Source organism: Homo sapiens, chromosome 19, assembly GCF_000001405.40.
Source record: "Homo sapiens chromosome 19, GRCh38.p14 Primary Assembly".
In the NCBI taxonomy this organism is placed as follows: Eukaryota; Metazoa; Chordata; class Mammalia; order Primates; family Hominidae; genus Homo; species Homo sapiens.
The window spans coordinates 14019323-14031712 of NC_000019.10; the positions used below are offsets into that span (position 1 = coordinate 14019323).

General features: G+C 45.0%; 1 protein-coding gene across 2 annotated transcripts, besides 5 other annotated features; it reads left to right on the plus strand.

Annotated features, from left to right (window-relative positions):
• Positions 4190–4690: an enhancer, noted in NCBI's record as "H3K27ac hESC enhancer chr19:14134324-14134824 (GRCh37/hg19 assembly coordinates)". NCBI's record gives its function as "activates a minimal SCP1, AML or CMV promoter by ChIP-STARR-seq in naive H9 embryonic stem cells {active_cell/tissue: H9 hESC(naive)}" and the evidence as "EXISTENCE:reporter gene assay evidence [ECO:0000049][PMID:30033119]".
• Positions 4194–4593: a transcriptional cis regulatory region, noted in NCBI's record as "candidate enhancer chr19.2299 targeted for multiplex CRISPR interference". NCBI's record gives its function as "positively regulates GIPC1 gene expression with high confidence in K562 cells {active_cell/tissue: K562}" and the evidence as "EXISTENCE:mutant phenotype evidence [ECO:0000015][PMID:30612741]".
• Positions 4691–5191: an enhancer, noted in NCBI's record as "H3K27ac hESC enhancer chr19:14134825-14135325 (GRCh37/hg19 assembly coordinates)". NCBI's record gives its function as "activates a minimal SCP1, AML or CMV promoter by ChIP-STARR-seq in naive H9 embryonic stem cells {active_cell/tissue: H9 hESC(naive)}" and the evidence as "EXISTENCE:reporter gene assay evidence [ECO:0000049][PMID:30033119]".
• Positions 8826–12229, plus strand: RLN3 (relaxin 3). 2 transcript variants are annotated; one of them, NM_001311197.2, is made up of 3 exons: positions 8826–9072; positions 10923–11034; positions 11388–12229. In NM_001311197.2, exons 1-3 carry the CDS (start codon positions 8883–8885, stop codon positions 11413–11415), a joined length of 330 nt encoding a protein of 109 aa, NP_001298126.1. In that variant the 5' UTR covers positions 8826–8882; the 3' UTR covers positions 11416–12229. The 2 variants fall into 2 exon arrangements, with proteins under 2 accessions (NP_001298126.1, NP_543140.1); NM_080864.4 differs by lacking the exon at positions 10923–11034.
• Positions 9603–9652: an enhancer, noted in NCBI's record as "active region_14152". NCBI's record gives its function as "activates an Ori minimal core promoter by ATAC-STARR-seq in GM12878 lymphoblastoid cells {active_cell/tissue: GM12878}" and the evidence as "EXISTENCE:reporter gene assay evidence [ECO:0000049][PMID:35858748]".
• Positions 12219–12348: a silencer, noted in NCBI's record as "silent region_10222". NCBI's record gives its function as "represses an Ori minimal core promoter by ATAC-STARR-seq in GM12878 lymphoblastoid cells {active_cell/tissue: GM12878}" and the evidence as "EXISTENCE:reporter gene assay evidence [ECO:0000049][PMID:35858748]".

The following is a 12390-nucleotide window of genomic DNA, read 5'->3' on the forward strand; positions in this document are numbered from 1 at the left end:
AGGAAATTAAGAGCTGTGGTTATTCATGAGAGAAAGGGGAGGAACTGAAACTTGGAAGGCAGATGCTGCTTCATAAACCTTATATGCTTTGCTTTTTGAAGCATGTAAATGTATTAACTATTCGAAGATAAATTAAATAGTTTGGAGAAGCTGAGGGCAGTGATACAGACCTCTAATCCCAGCTATTTGGGAGGCTGAGGTGGGACGATCACTTTAGGAAAGGGAACTAAGACCAGCCTGGCAACACAGCGAGACTCCAGTCTCTTAAAAAAAAAAAAAAAAAAAAAAAAAATATATATATATATATATATATATATATATATATATATATATATATATATATATTTATTGTATTGCTGGGCACAGTGGCTCATGTCTGTAACCTCAGCACTTTGGGAGGCTGAGGCAGGTGGATCACTTGAGGCCAAGAGTTTGAGACTACCCTGGCCAACATGGTGAAACACCATCTCTAATAAAAATACAAAAATTAGCCGGGAGTGGTGGCGGGTGCCTGTAGTTTCAGCTACTCGGGAGGCTGAGACAGGAGAATCACTTGAACCCAGGAGGTGGACATTGCAGTGCACTGAGATGGTGCCACTGCACTCCAGCCTGGATGACAGAGCAAGACTCCATCTCAATATATATATAATATATATTTATATATAATATGTTAATATATTGTATACATACATATATGTATACAACATATTAATTTATATTAAGGTAATATATTATATTAATTAATTATATTATACTAATTAAATTATATTAATATAAGATGTATTAATTTACATATATTTCTGTATACAATATATTAATATATTATAAAAATGTTACATTATGTCCTAGGCTATATTTATATGTGCTATATTTATATTATATAAATAATATATCATAAAAATATGTTACATTATGCTATGTATTTATTTTATATAGCATAATGTAACATATAATATATAATGTATATATTACATATTATATATTATATATTTTTTGTATACTTTTTTAACATGTCCCCAGAGATAGGAAATATAAATCTATATTATACATTATATAACATATTTATATTACATATTATATATTATATATCATAATACATTATAATATATTAATTATAATATAATATATTAATATATTATAACATATTCTATAAATAAAATATTTATATATTATATAAATATGTTATATAATATGTTATATATAAATGCTATGATATATTGTATAACATAAATATAAAATTATATCTCATATAATAGATTATACATGATATATAATATACATTATATATCATATACATTATATATCATACATGATATATAATAATTATATTTAATATATAATGTATATTTTTATAATAATTACATATAACACATATATTTATATATTTTATATATATATATATATATACAGTCTGTATCTTCAACTGTTTTGTTTTTTTAAAAGGACACTCATAATTGGATTTAGGGCCCACCCAGATAATCCAGGATGAGCTTATCTTAATATAATATAATATATAATTTTATATTATATATTATATATTGTATTATAATATAATAAATATATAAATATTTTATTATATATTTTATAATATATATTATATATATTATATATATAAAATAAATATATATATTATACATAAATATAAATATATATAATATATTATATAACCTATTTATATTATATATATAAATATATAAATATATCATATATATTTATGTAGAATATATTTATATATTATAATATACTATATTATTATAATTATAATATATTTATATATAAATATATAAATGTATTTCTATATAATATATAAGTATATTATATAATAGAATATAGTATAATATATAACATCTATAATATATAAGTATACTTATATAATATATATTATACAATATATAAGTATATTATATATGTTTATATAATATATAAACATATTATATAATATGTTTATATATGATATATGCATATTATGTTTATTATGATATATGCATATTATATAATATGTTTATTATATGATATATAAATATATTTATATGTTATAGATGTTATGTATATTATAGATATATTATAATTTATAAATGTATATCATAATAATTTTATAAACTTATAAATATATATTATATATATAAAGTTTGGAAATCAGGGCTTTATTTAGAATTGGCAAAATTGGCTTGCATTTTTATAGTGAACAAAATCATCATGACACCCATATTCCTAGCAGGTGACATTTCCCGTTCTGACTATATTCATTTCACTGTAGCTGCTGTAACCAGTGTCCACAAACCAGGTGGCTTACACCAATGAACATTTATTCCCTTCCTGTTCTGGTTGTCAGGAGTCTGAAATGCAGGCGTCGCAGGGCCGCGCCCCCTCTGAGGCCTCTAGGGGAGGGTCCCTCCTTGCCTCTTCCAGCTTCTGGAGGCTCCAGGCCTTCCTTGGCTTCCTCAATGGCATTAAGCCAATTTCTGCCTCTGTCTTCATATGAACTTTCCTCTTTTGTCTGTGTCTTCAACTCTTTTGTTTTTTAAAAGGACACTCATAATTGGATTTAGGGCCCACGAAGATAATCCAGGTTGAGCTCATCTTAAGGTTCTTTTTAATTTTTTTTTAATGGAGTCTCACTGTGTTGCTCAGACTGGAGTGCAGTGGCATGCGATCTGGGTTCAATGCAACCTCCGACTCCCGGGTTCAAGCGATTCTCCTGGATCAGCCTCCTGAGTAGCTCATATTACAGGTGCCCGTCACCACACCCAGCTAATTTTTGTATTTTCAGTAGAGACCGGGTTTCACCATGTTGGCCAGGCTGGTCTGGAACTCCTGACCTCAGGTGATCTGCCTGCCTCAGCTTCCTGAAGTCCTGGGATTACAGGCATGAGCCACCCCCCAAGGCCATCTAAAGATTCTTAATTACATTTGCAAAAGCTCTTTTTCTTTTTCTTTCTTTCTTTTTTTTTTTTGAGACAGGGTCTCACTCTGTTGCCGAGGCTGGAGTGCAGTGACACCATCCCAGCTCACTACAGTCTCAAATTCCTGGGCTCAAGCGATCCTCCCACCTCAGCCTCCTGTGTAGGGGACTACAGGAACACACCACCATACCCAGCTAATTTTTGTATTTGTAGAGACGGGAGTGTCACTGTATTGTCCAAGCTGGTGTGGAACTCCTGGCCTCTAGCAATCCTCCTGCCTTGGTCTTCCAAGTAGCTGAGACCACAGGCATGCATGCCTGGCTAATATTTTCTATTTTTTAAAGGCCAGATCTTGACATTTTGCCCAGGCTGGTCTTAAACTCTTACGCTCAAGTGTTCCTCCGGCCTCAGCTTCCTAAGTAGCTGGAAATACAGGCACACATCACCTCACCTGGCTAAGGTTTTGTTTTGTTTTGTTTTAAGATAGGATCTCTGTCACCCAAGCTGGGTGACACAATCATGGCTCACTGCAGCCGTGACCTTCTGGGCTCAAGCAATCCTCCTGCCTCAGCCTCCTGAGTAGCTGAGATTACAGGCACCTGCCACCGTGCCTGACTAATTTTTTTATTTTTTAGTAGAGACAGGGTTTCACTGTGTTGGCCAGGCTGGTCTCAAACTCCTGACCCCAGGTGATCCGTCCTCCTTGGCCTCCCAGTGTGCTGGGATTACAGGTGTGAGCCACCGCACTTGGTTTCAAATACTTTTTTCTAGTAAGATCACATTTATAGATCCCAGGGTTTAGGATGTGGACATAGATTTCTGCAGATCACCATTTACACACCACACCGACGAGTGCTGTGCAGAATGCTTAGGACTCTATAGAATTTCACCAAAGTCCCCAAGAGGCTCATGAAGCAGGTATACTTATCATCTCCATCTTCACAATGAACTCAGAGAGGTATAGGGTCTTGCCCAAGGATACACAGGAACAGAGATTTGAACCTAGCTATGTTGGGCCCAAAACTCTGATTCTATGTGAGACACAAAAGACGCTTCTGGGCTGGGTGCAGTGACTCACGCCAGCACTTTGGGAGGCTGAGGTGGGCAGATCACTTGAGATCAAGAGTTTGAGGCTAGCCTGGCCAACATGGCAAAACCCCGTCTCTACTAAAAATACAAAAATTAACCAGACATGGTGGCGCACACCTGCAGTCCTAGCTACTTGGGAGGCTGAGGCACATGAATAGCTTGAACCCTGGAGACAGAGGCTGCGATGAGCCGAGATCACTCCATTGCACTCCAGTCTGAGCGACAGAGTGAGACCCTGTGTCAAAAAAAAAAAAAAAAGAAAAGAAAAAGAAAAAAGAGGCTTCTGGTTTGAGGCCCATCAGTTAAGTCAGGCAGGCAGGCAGCAGATATTTCCTGAATGCTTGTTCTTCCCCAGGCCAGGCACTGGGGGCGCAGGAGAAAAGGGCAGGAGGGTACCTCCCTACAGGAAGTTCCTGGAGAAGAGGCCGAGGGGAAGAGAGTATTATTCACCAGCCCTTTAGAAACAGAGCAATCAGAGGTGACCTCTGCCTCCGGAAGGTTGCCCTTGGCCTGTGACATCCACAGCAGGCAACTGGGGCCAGGAGTTTGTGACAGAGAAAAGGACAAAGAGATGAAGTTCTAATCCAAAGGGAACGTGTCCAGTAGAAATAACATTTAAACAGCACTTACTTCATGCAGGAGATTGTTGTAAAAATTTGACTCACTCATTAAATCTTTCCCATTTTGCAAGTGAGGAAACCAAGGCACAGAGAGTTTAAGTGACTTGGCCAAGGTCACACAGCAGGAAAGAGGCAGAGGTGGAATTTGAAGCCAAGCTTGCCCCCCTTACCAGAGCCCTTGTTTTTGCTGTGTTTTAAAGTCGAGGTGAAATTGACATTAACATAGCTGTGCCTGGTGGCTCATGCCTGTAGTCCTAGCACTTTGGGAGGCCAAAGGGGGAGGATCACTTGAGCTCAGGAGTTCCAGATCAGCCTGGGCAACATAGTTAGGCCTCATCTCTTTAAAAAAGAAAGACTGGCCGCAGTGGTTTACATTTGTAAACCACCTGTTTCCCACCTGGCTAATTTTTGTATTTTTGTTAGAGACTGGGTTTTACACTACGGTGGACAGGCTGGTCTCAAACTCCTGAACTCAAGTGATCTGCCCGCCTTGGCCTCCCAAAGTGCTGGGATTACAGACGTGAGCCACCGTACCTGGCCTGGTTAGTTTTATTTTATATGGATGTTATCTCTCTCTTTTTTTTTTTTTTTTTGAGACAGAGTTTCGCTCTTGTTGCCCAGGCTGGAGTGCAATGGCGTGATCTCCGCTCACTGCATCCTCCGACTCCCAGGTTCAAGAGATTCTCCTGCCTCAGCCTCCTGAGTAGCTGGGATTACAGGCATCTGCCACCATGCCCAGCAAATTTTTGTATTTTTAGTAGAGACGGGTTTCACCGTGTTGGCCAGGCTGGTCTCAAACTCTTGACCTCAAGTGATCCGTCCTCCTCAGCCTCCCAAAGTGCTGGGATTACAGGCATGAGCCACCATGCCCGGCCTCAATTTTTTTTTTTTTTAGACAAGGTTTGGCTCCGTTGTACAGGCTGGAGTGCAGTGATGCAATCTCAGCTCATGGCAGCCTTGAACGCTTAGGCAAAAGTGATCTTCCCACCTCAGCCTCCTGAGTAGCTGGGATCACAGATGTGTGCCACCACACCTGGCTAATTTTTACATTATTTGTAGAGGTGGGGTTTCACCTGTTGCCCAGGCTGGTCTGGAACTCTTGGGTTCAAGCAATCCTCCTGCCTTGGCTGCCCAAAGTTCCGGAATTACAGGCGTGAGCCATCATTCCCAGCCTCTCAATATATATATTTTTATTTTATTATGATGATGATGATTATTTTTTGTGACAAAGTCTCACTCTGTCGCCCACGCTGATGCACAGTGGCTCAATCTCGGCTCACTGCAGACTCTGCCTCCTGGGTTCAAGTGAGTCTCCTGCCTCAGACTCCTGAGTAACTGGGATTACAGGCATGTGCCACCATGCCCAGCTAATTTTTGTACTATTAGTAGAGATGGGGTTTGACCATGTCGGCCAGGCTGGTCTCGAACTCCTGACCTCAAGTGACTCGCCCGCCTCAGCTGCCCAAAGTTCTAGGATTACAGGCATGAGCCACTGTGCCTGGCCACTGCCACTAATTTTACATTATGGTGAGTTGTATGATTATTTCAATATACAACTACAGTATAATAATAATAGAAATAAAGTGCACAATAAATGTGATGCGCTTGGCCAGGCGCGGTGGCTCATGCCTGTAGTCCCAGCACTTTGGGAGGCCGAGGTGGACGGATCATGAGGTCAAGAGATCGGGACCAACCTGGACAACATGGTGAAACCTCGTCTCTACTAAAAATACAAAAATTAGCTGGGCGTGGTGGCATATGCCTGTAGTCCCAGCTACTCGGAAGCTGAGGCAGGAGAATCGCTTGAACCTGGGAGGCAGAAGTTGCAGTGAGCCAAGATTGCGCCATTGCACTCCAGCCTGGTGACACAGCAAGACTCCATCTCAAAAAAAAAAAAAAAAAAAAAAAAAGTGATACGCTTGAATCATCCCGAAACCATCCACTTGACACTCCATCCATGGAAAAATTGTCTTCCACGAAACCGGTTTCTGGCGTCAAAAACGTTAGGATCTGCTGCCTCAGGACACCCTTCTGTGTCTCCGTTTCCTCATTTGTAATATGAGAATTATCTTAGTCCTGAATTCATAACCCCATGCTCTTAAAAGTGTGGTTTCCGCCGGGCGCAGTGTCTCACGCCTGTAATCCCAGCACTTTGGGAGGTCGAGGCGGGCGGATCACGAGGTCAGGAGATCGAGACCATCCTGGCTAACACAGTGAAACCCCGTCTCTACTAAAAATACAAAAAATTAGCCGGGCGTGGTGGCGGGCGCCTGTAGTCCCAGCTACTCGGGAGGCTGAGGCAGGAGAATGGCGTGAACCTGGGAAGTGGGGAGCTTGCAGTGAGCCGAGATCATGCCACTGCACTCCAGCCTGGGCGACAGTGCGAGACTCCATCTCAAAAAAAAAAAAAAAAGAAAGAAAGAAACTGTGGTTTCTGGGCTGGGCGTGGTGCTCCAGGCTGGAGTGCAATGACACAATCTTGGCTCACTGCAACCTCTGCCTCCTGGGTTCAAGCGATTCTCCTGCCTCAGCCTTCTCAGTAGCTGGGATTACAGGCACCCGCCACCATGCCCGGCTAATTTTTATATTTTTAATAGAGACAGGGTTTCATCATGTTGGCCAGGCTGGTCTCAAACTCCTGACCTCAGGTGATCCACCCGCCTCGACCTCCCAAAGTGCTGGGATTACAGGTGTGAACCACTGTGTCCAGCCAATCCCAGCACTTCGAGAGTCTGACGCATTTGGGTCCCTTGAGTCCAAGAGTTTGAGACCAGCCCGGGCAACATTGTGAGGTCTCATCTCTACAAAAAATACAAAAATTAGCTGAGCATGGTGGTACACACCTGTAGTCCCAGCTACTTAGGAGGCTGAGGTGGGAGGATCATTTGAACCCGGGAATTCAAGGCTGCAGTGAGCTATGTTGCCACCACTACAATCCAGCCTGGGCAACATAGCCAGACCCTGTCTCTGAAAAAAAGAAAAAAAAAAAAGTCTGGTTTCTGAACCAGCAGGATCAATGTCACCTGGGAACTGGTTGGAAATGCAGATTCTTAGATATGTTCCATACCTGTTGAGTCAGGAGCTCTGCAGGTAGGACACAAAGATATGTGTTTTGTTTGTTTGTTTTTGAGACAGAGTCTCACTCTGTTGCCCAGGCTGAAGTGCAGTGGCGCCATCTCAGCTCACTGCAACCTCCACCTCCCAGGTTCAAGCAATTCTCCTGCCTCAGCCTCCCAAGGAGCTGGGGCTACAGACATGAGCCACCACACCCGGCTAATTTTTTGTATTTTTAGTAGAGGCGGGGTTTCACCATGTTGGCCAGGCTGGTCTCGAACTCCGGACCTCAGGTAATCCTCCTGCCATGGCCTCCCAAAGTGCTGGGATTACAGGCGTGAGCCACCGCGCCTGGCCTGATTTCTGTTTTAACAAGCCTACCCAAAGATTCTGAAGCTCACTCACATTTGAGAACCATTACCCTGGGTTGTTGGGAGAATCAAATACATTACAGAGATATAAAATGCTTTGAGCAGCTGAGGGCTGTGGCTCATATCTGTAATCCCAGCACTTTGGGAGGCTGAGACAGGCGGATCACCTGAGGCCAGGAGTTCGAGACCAGCCTGGCCAACGTGGTAAAACCCCGTCTCTACTGAAAATACAAAAATTAGCCAGGTGTGGTGGTGGGCGCCTGTAATCCCAACTACTTGGGAGGCTGAGGCGGGAGAATTTCTTGAATCTGGGAGGCGGAGGTTGCAGTGAGCCAAGATTGTGCCATTGGGACTGTACCTCTAGCCTGGGTGACAGAGCGAGACTCCATCTAAACAAACAAACAAACAAATAAACAATAAAATGCTTACAGTAGTGTGCCTGGCCTCGTAGCACATACTGCACTGGGCGTTCACTGCTATTATGATCTTCGAAGAGGTCCAGGACCCTAACGTTGTGGGGATCTGGTTGTGTCACCTTACCCCGCCTTTTGGGATTATGCGTTTCTGGTCTCTGCAGGTTGGAGACCTTCTCGCCTCTCTGTCAATGATGTTGACAATAAGCTGGGCCACATCACCCTGTCCCTAGCGAAAGGTTATCACTTCGCTGGGGACATGAGAAAGGTCGGGTTGGGGGGGCCGTGCCTGTCTCCCCTCTGCTGGAGAAGATAAGGGAGGCACTCAGCTTTCTTCAGGCAGAGTGTGGGGGAGCCACGATGTATAAATGGGGGGCCAAGAGGCAGCAGAGACACTGGCCCACTCTCACGTTCAAAGCATCTCCGTCCAGCATGGCCAGGTACATGCTGCTGCTGCTCCTGGCGGTATGGGTGCTGACCGGGGAGCTGTGGCCGGGAGCTGAGGCCCGGGCAGCGCCTTACGGGGTCAGGCTTTGCGGCCGAGAATTCATCCGAGCAGTCATCTTCACCTGCGGGGGCTCCCGGTGGAGACGATCAGACATCCTGGCCCACGAGGCTATGGGTGAGGCTGGGGAGAGAGTGGATGTAGAAGGGGAACAGGTGGCTGGATGGGTCCCAGGAGCTAAGGACAGAGATAAGAGGAGGTTGCTGGAGGAGGAGGGTCCCTGTCCTGCCACATTCAGCCAGGGACACCTGCCCAGCCTTGAAACAAGGGCTCAGGAGTTAGCAGAGCTGCAGAGCTGGGATGGGGTGTTGCAAGCCATCCATGGGGGCTGGAAGTCTGAGGACAGGTGGGGGCGGGGAGCGTGCCATTTGCAAAGACAACACCGAAGTGTTTTCCAACCCTTTCCAGCAGGTAATGTGAAGGGTGTGGTATACACATAGCTGGGTTTGTCACCTAATGCATGACCTCTCCCCAGCAAGTTGGTTTTTCTTCCGTCTCTGAGTGTCTTTTTTTTGGAGATGTGGTCTCACTCCATTGCCCAGGCTTGAATGCAGTGGCCCAATCACTGCTCATTGCAGCCTCGACCTCCCAGGCTCAAGTGATTCTCCTGCCTCCGCCTCCAGAGTAGTTGAGACCACAGGCACCTGACACCATGCCTGGCTAGTTTTAAATTTTTTTTTTGTAGAAACAGGGGTCTCACTATGTTGCCTAGGCTGGTCTCGAACTCCTGGGCTCAAGTGATCCTCCCACCTCGGCCTCCCTAAGTGCTGAGATTAGAGTCTCTGAGTGTCTTTATCTTCAAATGGGAGACACAGTTCCTGAATCTTGCAGGATTAAGTGGTATGATTAAATCAAAACAGATTAGGGCAGAGTCTCAGCAGGGCAGCGGCACAATCTGGGATCCATCAGGAGAGTCAGAGGGAACAGAAGACCTAGCTTCATGAGGGGCAGGGACCTGGCAAATAGATATTCATGATGGTGAGAAGGAGGATAGGTATGAGCGTGGACATAGAAGACACACCACTTGGATTCAGATAGTAGCTCTACAATGTAATAGTTGTGTGTTCATGTGCTACTATTTTTTTTTTTTTTGAGACAGAATCTCATTCTGTTGCCCAGGCTGGAGTGCAGTGGTGCAATCTTGGCTCACTGTAACCTCCATCACCTGGGTTCAAGCGATTCTCGTGCCTCCAGCCTCCCAAGTAGCTGGGATTACAGATGTGTGCCACCATACCTCGCTAATCTTTTTATTTTTAGTAGAGACAGTTTCACCATGTTGGCCAGGCTGGTCTCCAACTCCTGACCTCAGGTGATCCTCCCACCTCAGCCTCCCAAAGTGCTGGGATTACAGGCATGAGCCACCGCGCCCAGCCATGCAAATTCTTTACTGAGTCCTGCCTCAGTGGTCTCCTCTGGAAAATACGGGTGATAACTGCACCCACCTCAACTGGTTATCACTGAGAAGAATAAAGAAGTTAACCTGCTAAAGCACTTAAAACGTTGTTTGACACAAAGTAAGTGATCAATAAATTATTATTATTATTATTATTATTATTATTATTATTTTTGAGACAGGGTCTTGCTCTGTTGCCCAGACTGGAGTGCAGTGGTGTGATCACAGCTCACTGCAGCTTCAACCTCTTGGGCTCAAGCAATTCTCCTGCCTCAGCCTCCTGAGTAGCTGGGACTACAGGCTTGTGCCAACATGTCTAACTTTTTATTATTTGTAGAGACAGGGTAGTGCTGTGTTGTCCAGGCTGTTCTTGAACTCCTGGTTCTGGTGATCCTCCAGCATGTGCCCCTGGAAGTGCTGGGATTACAGGTGTGAGACACCGTGCCCGGACTCAATAGTCATTTTTGAGTGCTCATCATGTTCCAGACATTGTTCTAAGTTTTTTTTTTTAATGAATATTAACTCCTTATAAAACTTGAGAAGGTTGGAGTAATTATTTTTTTCCACTTTGCAGAAAAGAACATTGAGGCTCCAAGAAGTAAATTTACTTGCTCACGATTAGAGAAGCTGGATTCATGCTCAGTCAGCCCAGCTCCCAAATGTACCAGGTCCTCAATTAATAAAGAGTAAGGAGAAATAAATGACAGGGCTGGGTGCGGTGGCTCACGCCTGTAATCCCAGCACTTTGGGTGGCTGAGGTGGGCACATCACTTGAGGTCAGGAGTTTGCGACCAGCCTGAACAACATGGTGAACCCCATCTCTATAACAATACAAAAATCAGCCAGGCCTGCTGGCAGACACCTGTAATCCCACCTACTCTGGCAGAGCCAGAATTTGAACCCAGGACTGGGTGGAATAAAAACTCTGAACTATGTCTATGACTGTTGTCACAAGATCAGAGCTAGACTGGCCAGGAGCCATGACTGTGGGTGCAGCAGCAGCTGAGCCCTGATCACTAACTCTGTTCATCTTTTGCAGGAGATACCTTCCCGGATGCAGATGCTGATGAAGACAGTCTGGCAGGCGAGCTGGATGAGGCCATGGGGTCCAGCGAGTGGCTGGCCCTGACCAAGTCACCCCAGGCCTTTTACAGGGGGCGACCCAGCTGGCAAGGAACCCCTGGGGTTCTTCGGGGCAGCCGAGATGTCCTGGCTGGCCTTTCCAGCAGCTGCTGCAAGTGGGGGTGTAGCAAAAGTGAAATCAGTAGCCTTTGCTAGTTTGAGGGCTGGGCAGCCGTGGGCACCAGGACCAATGCCCCAGTCCTGCCATCCACTCAACTAGTGTCTGGCTGGGCACCTGTCTTTCGAGCCTCACACATTCATTCATTCATCTACAAGTCACAGAGGCACTGTGGGCTCAGGCACAGTCTCCCGACACCACCTATCCAACCCTGCCCTTTGACCAGCCTATCATGACCCTGGCCCCTAAGGAAGCTGTGCCCCTGCCTGGTCAAGTGGGGACCCCCCCATCCTGACCCCTGACCTCTCCCCAGCCCTAACCATGCGTTTGCCTGGCCTACACACTCCACTGCCACAACTGGGTCCCTACTCTACCTAGGCTGGCCACACAGAGACCCCTGCCCCCTTCCCAGTCCAAACTGTGGCCATTGTCCCCTGACCAGCTAAAATCAAGCCTCTGTCTCAGTCCAGCCTTTGCACGCACGCTTCCTTTGCCCTGCTTTCCATCCCCTCTCCCTCCAACTCCCCTGCCAGAGTTCCAAGGCTGTGGACCCCAGAGAAGGTGGCAGGTGGCCCCCCTAGGAGAGCTCTGGGCACATTCGAATCTTCCCAAACTCCAATAATAAAAATTCGAAGACTTTGGCAGAGAGTGTGTGTGTGTGTGTATGGTTGTTGGGCGTAGGACAGGTTTCGGGGATGCGCGGTACGCGGTACCACCCCTCGGAGGCCCCCACCCCCAGACGCCCAGGCCGCCTCCCCACTCCCCCTCAAGCAGCCCCAGCCGGGGACTTTCCGTCGCGGGG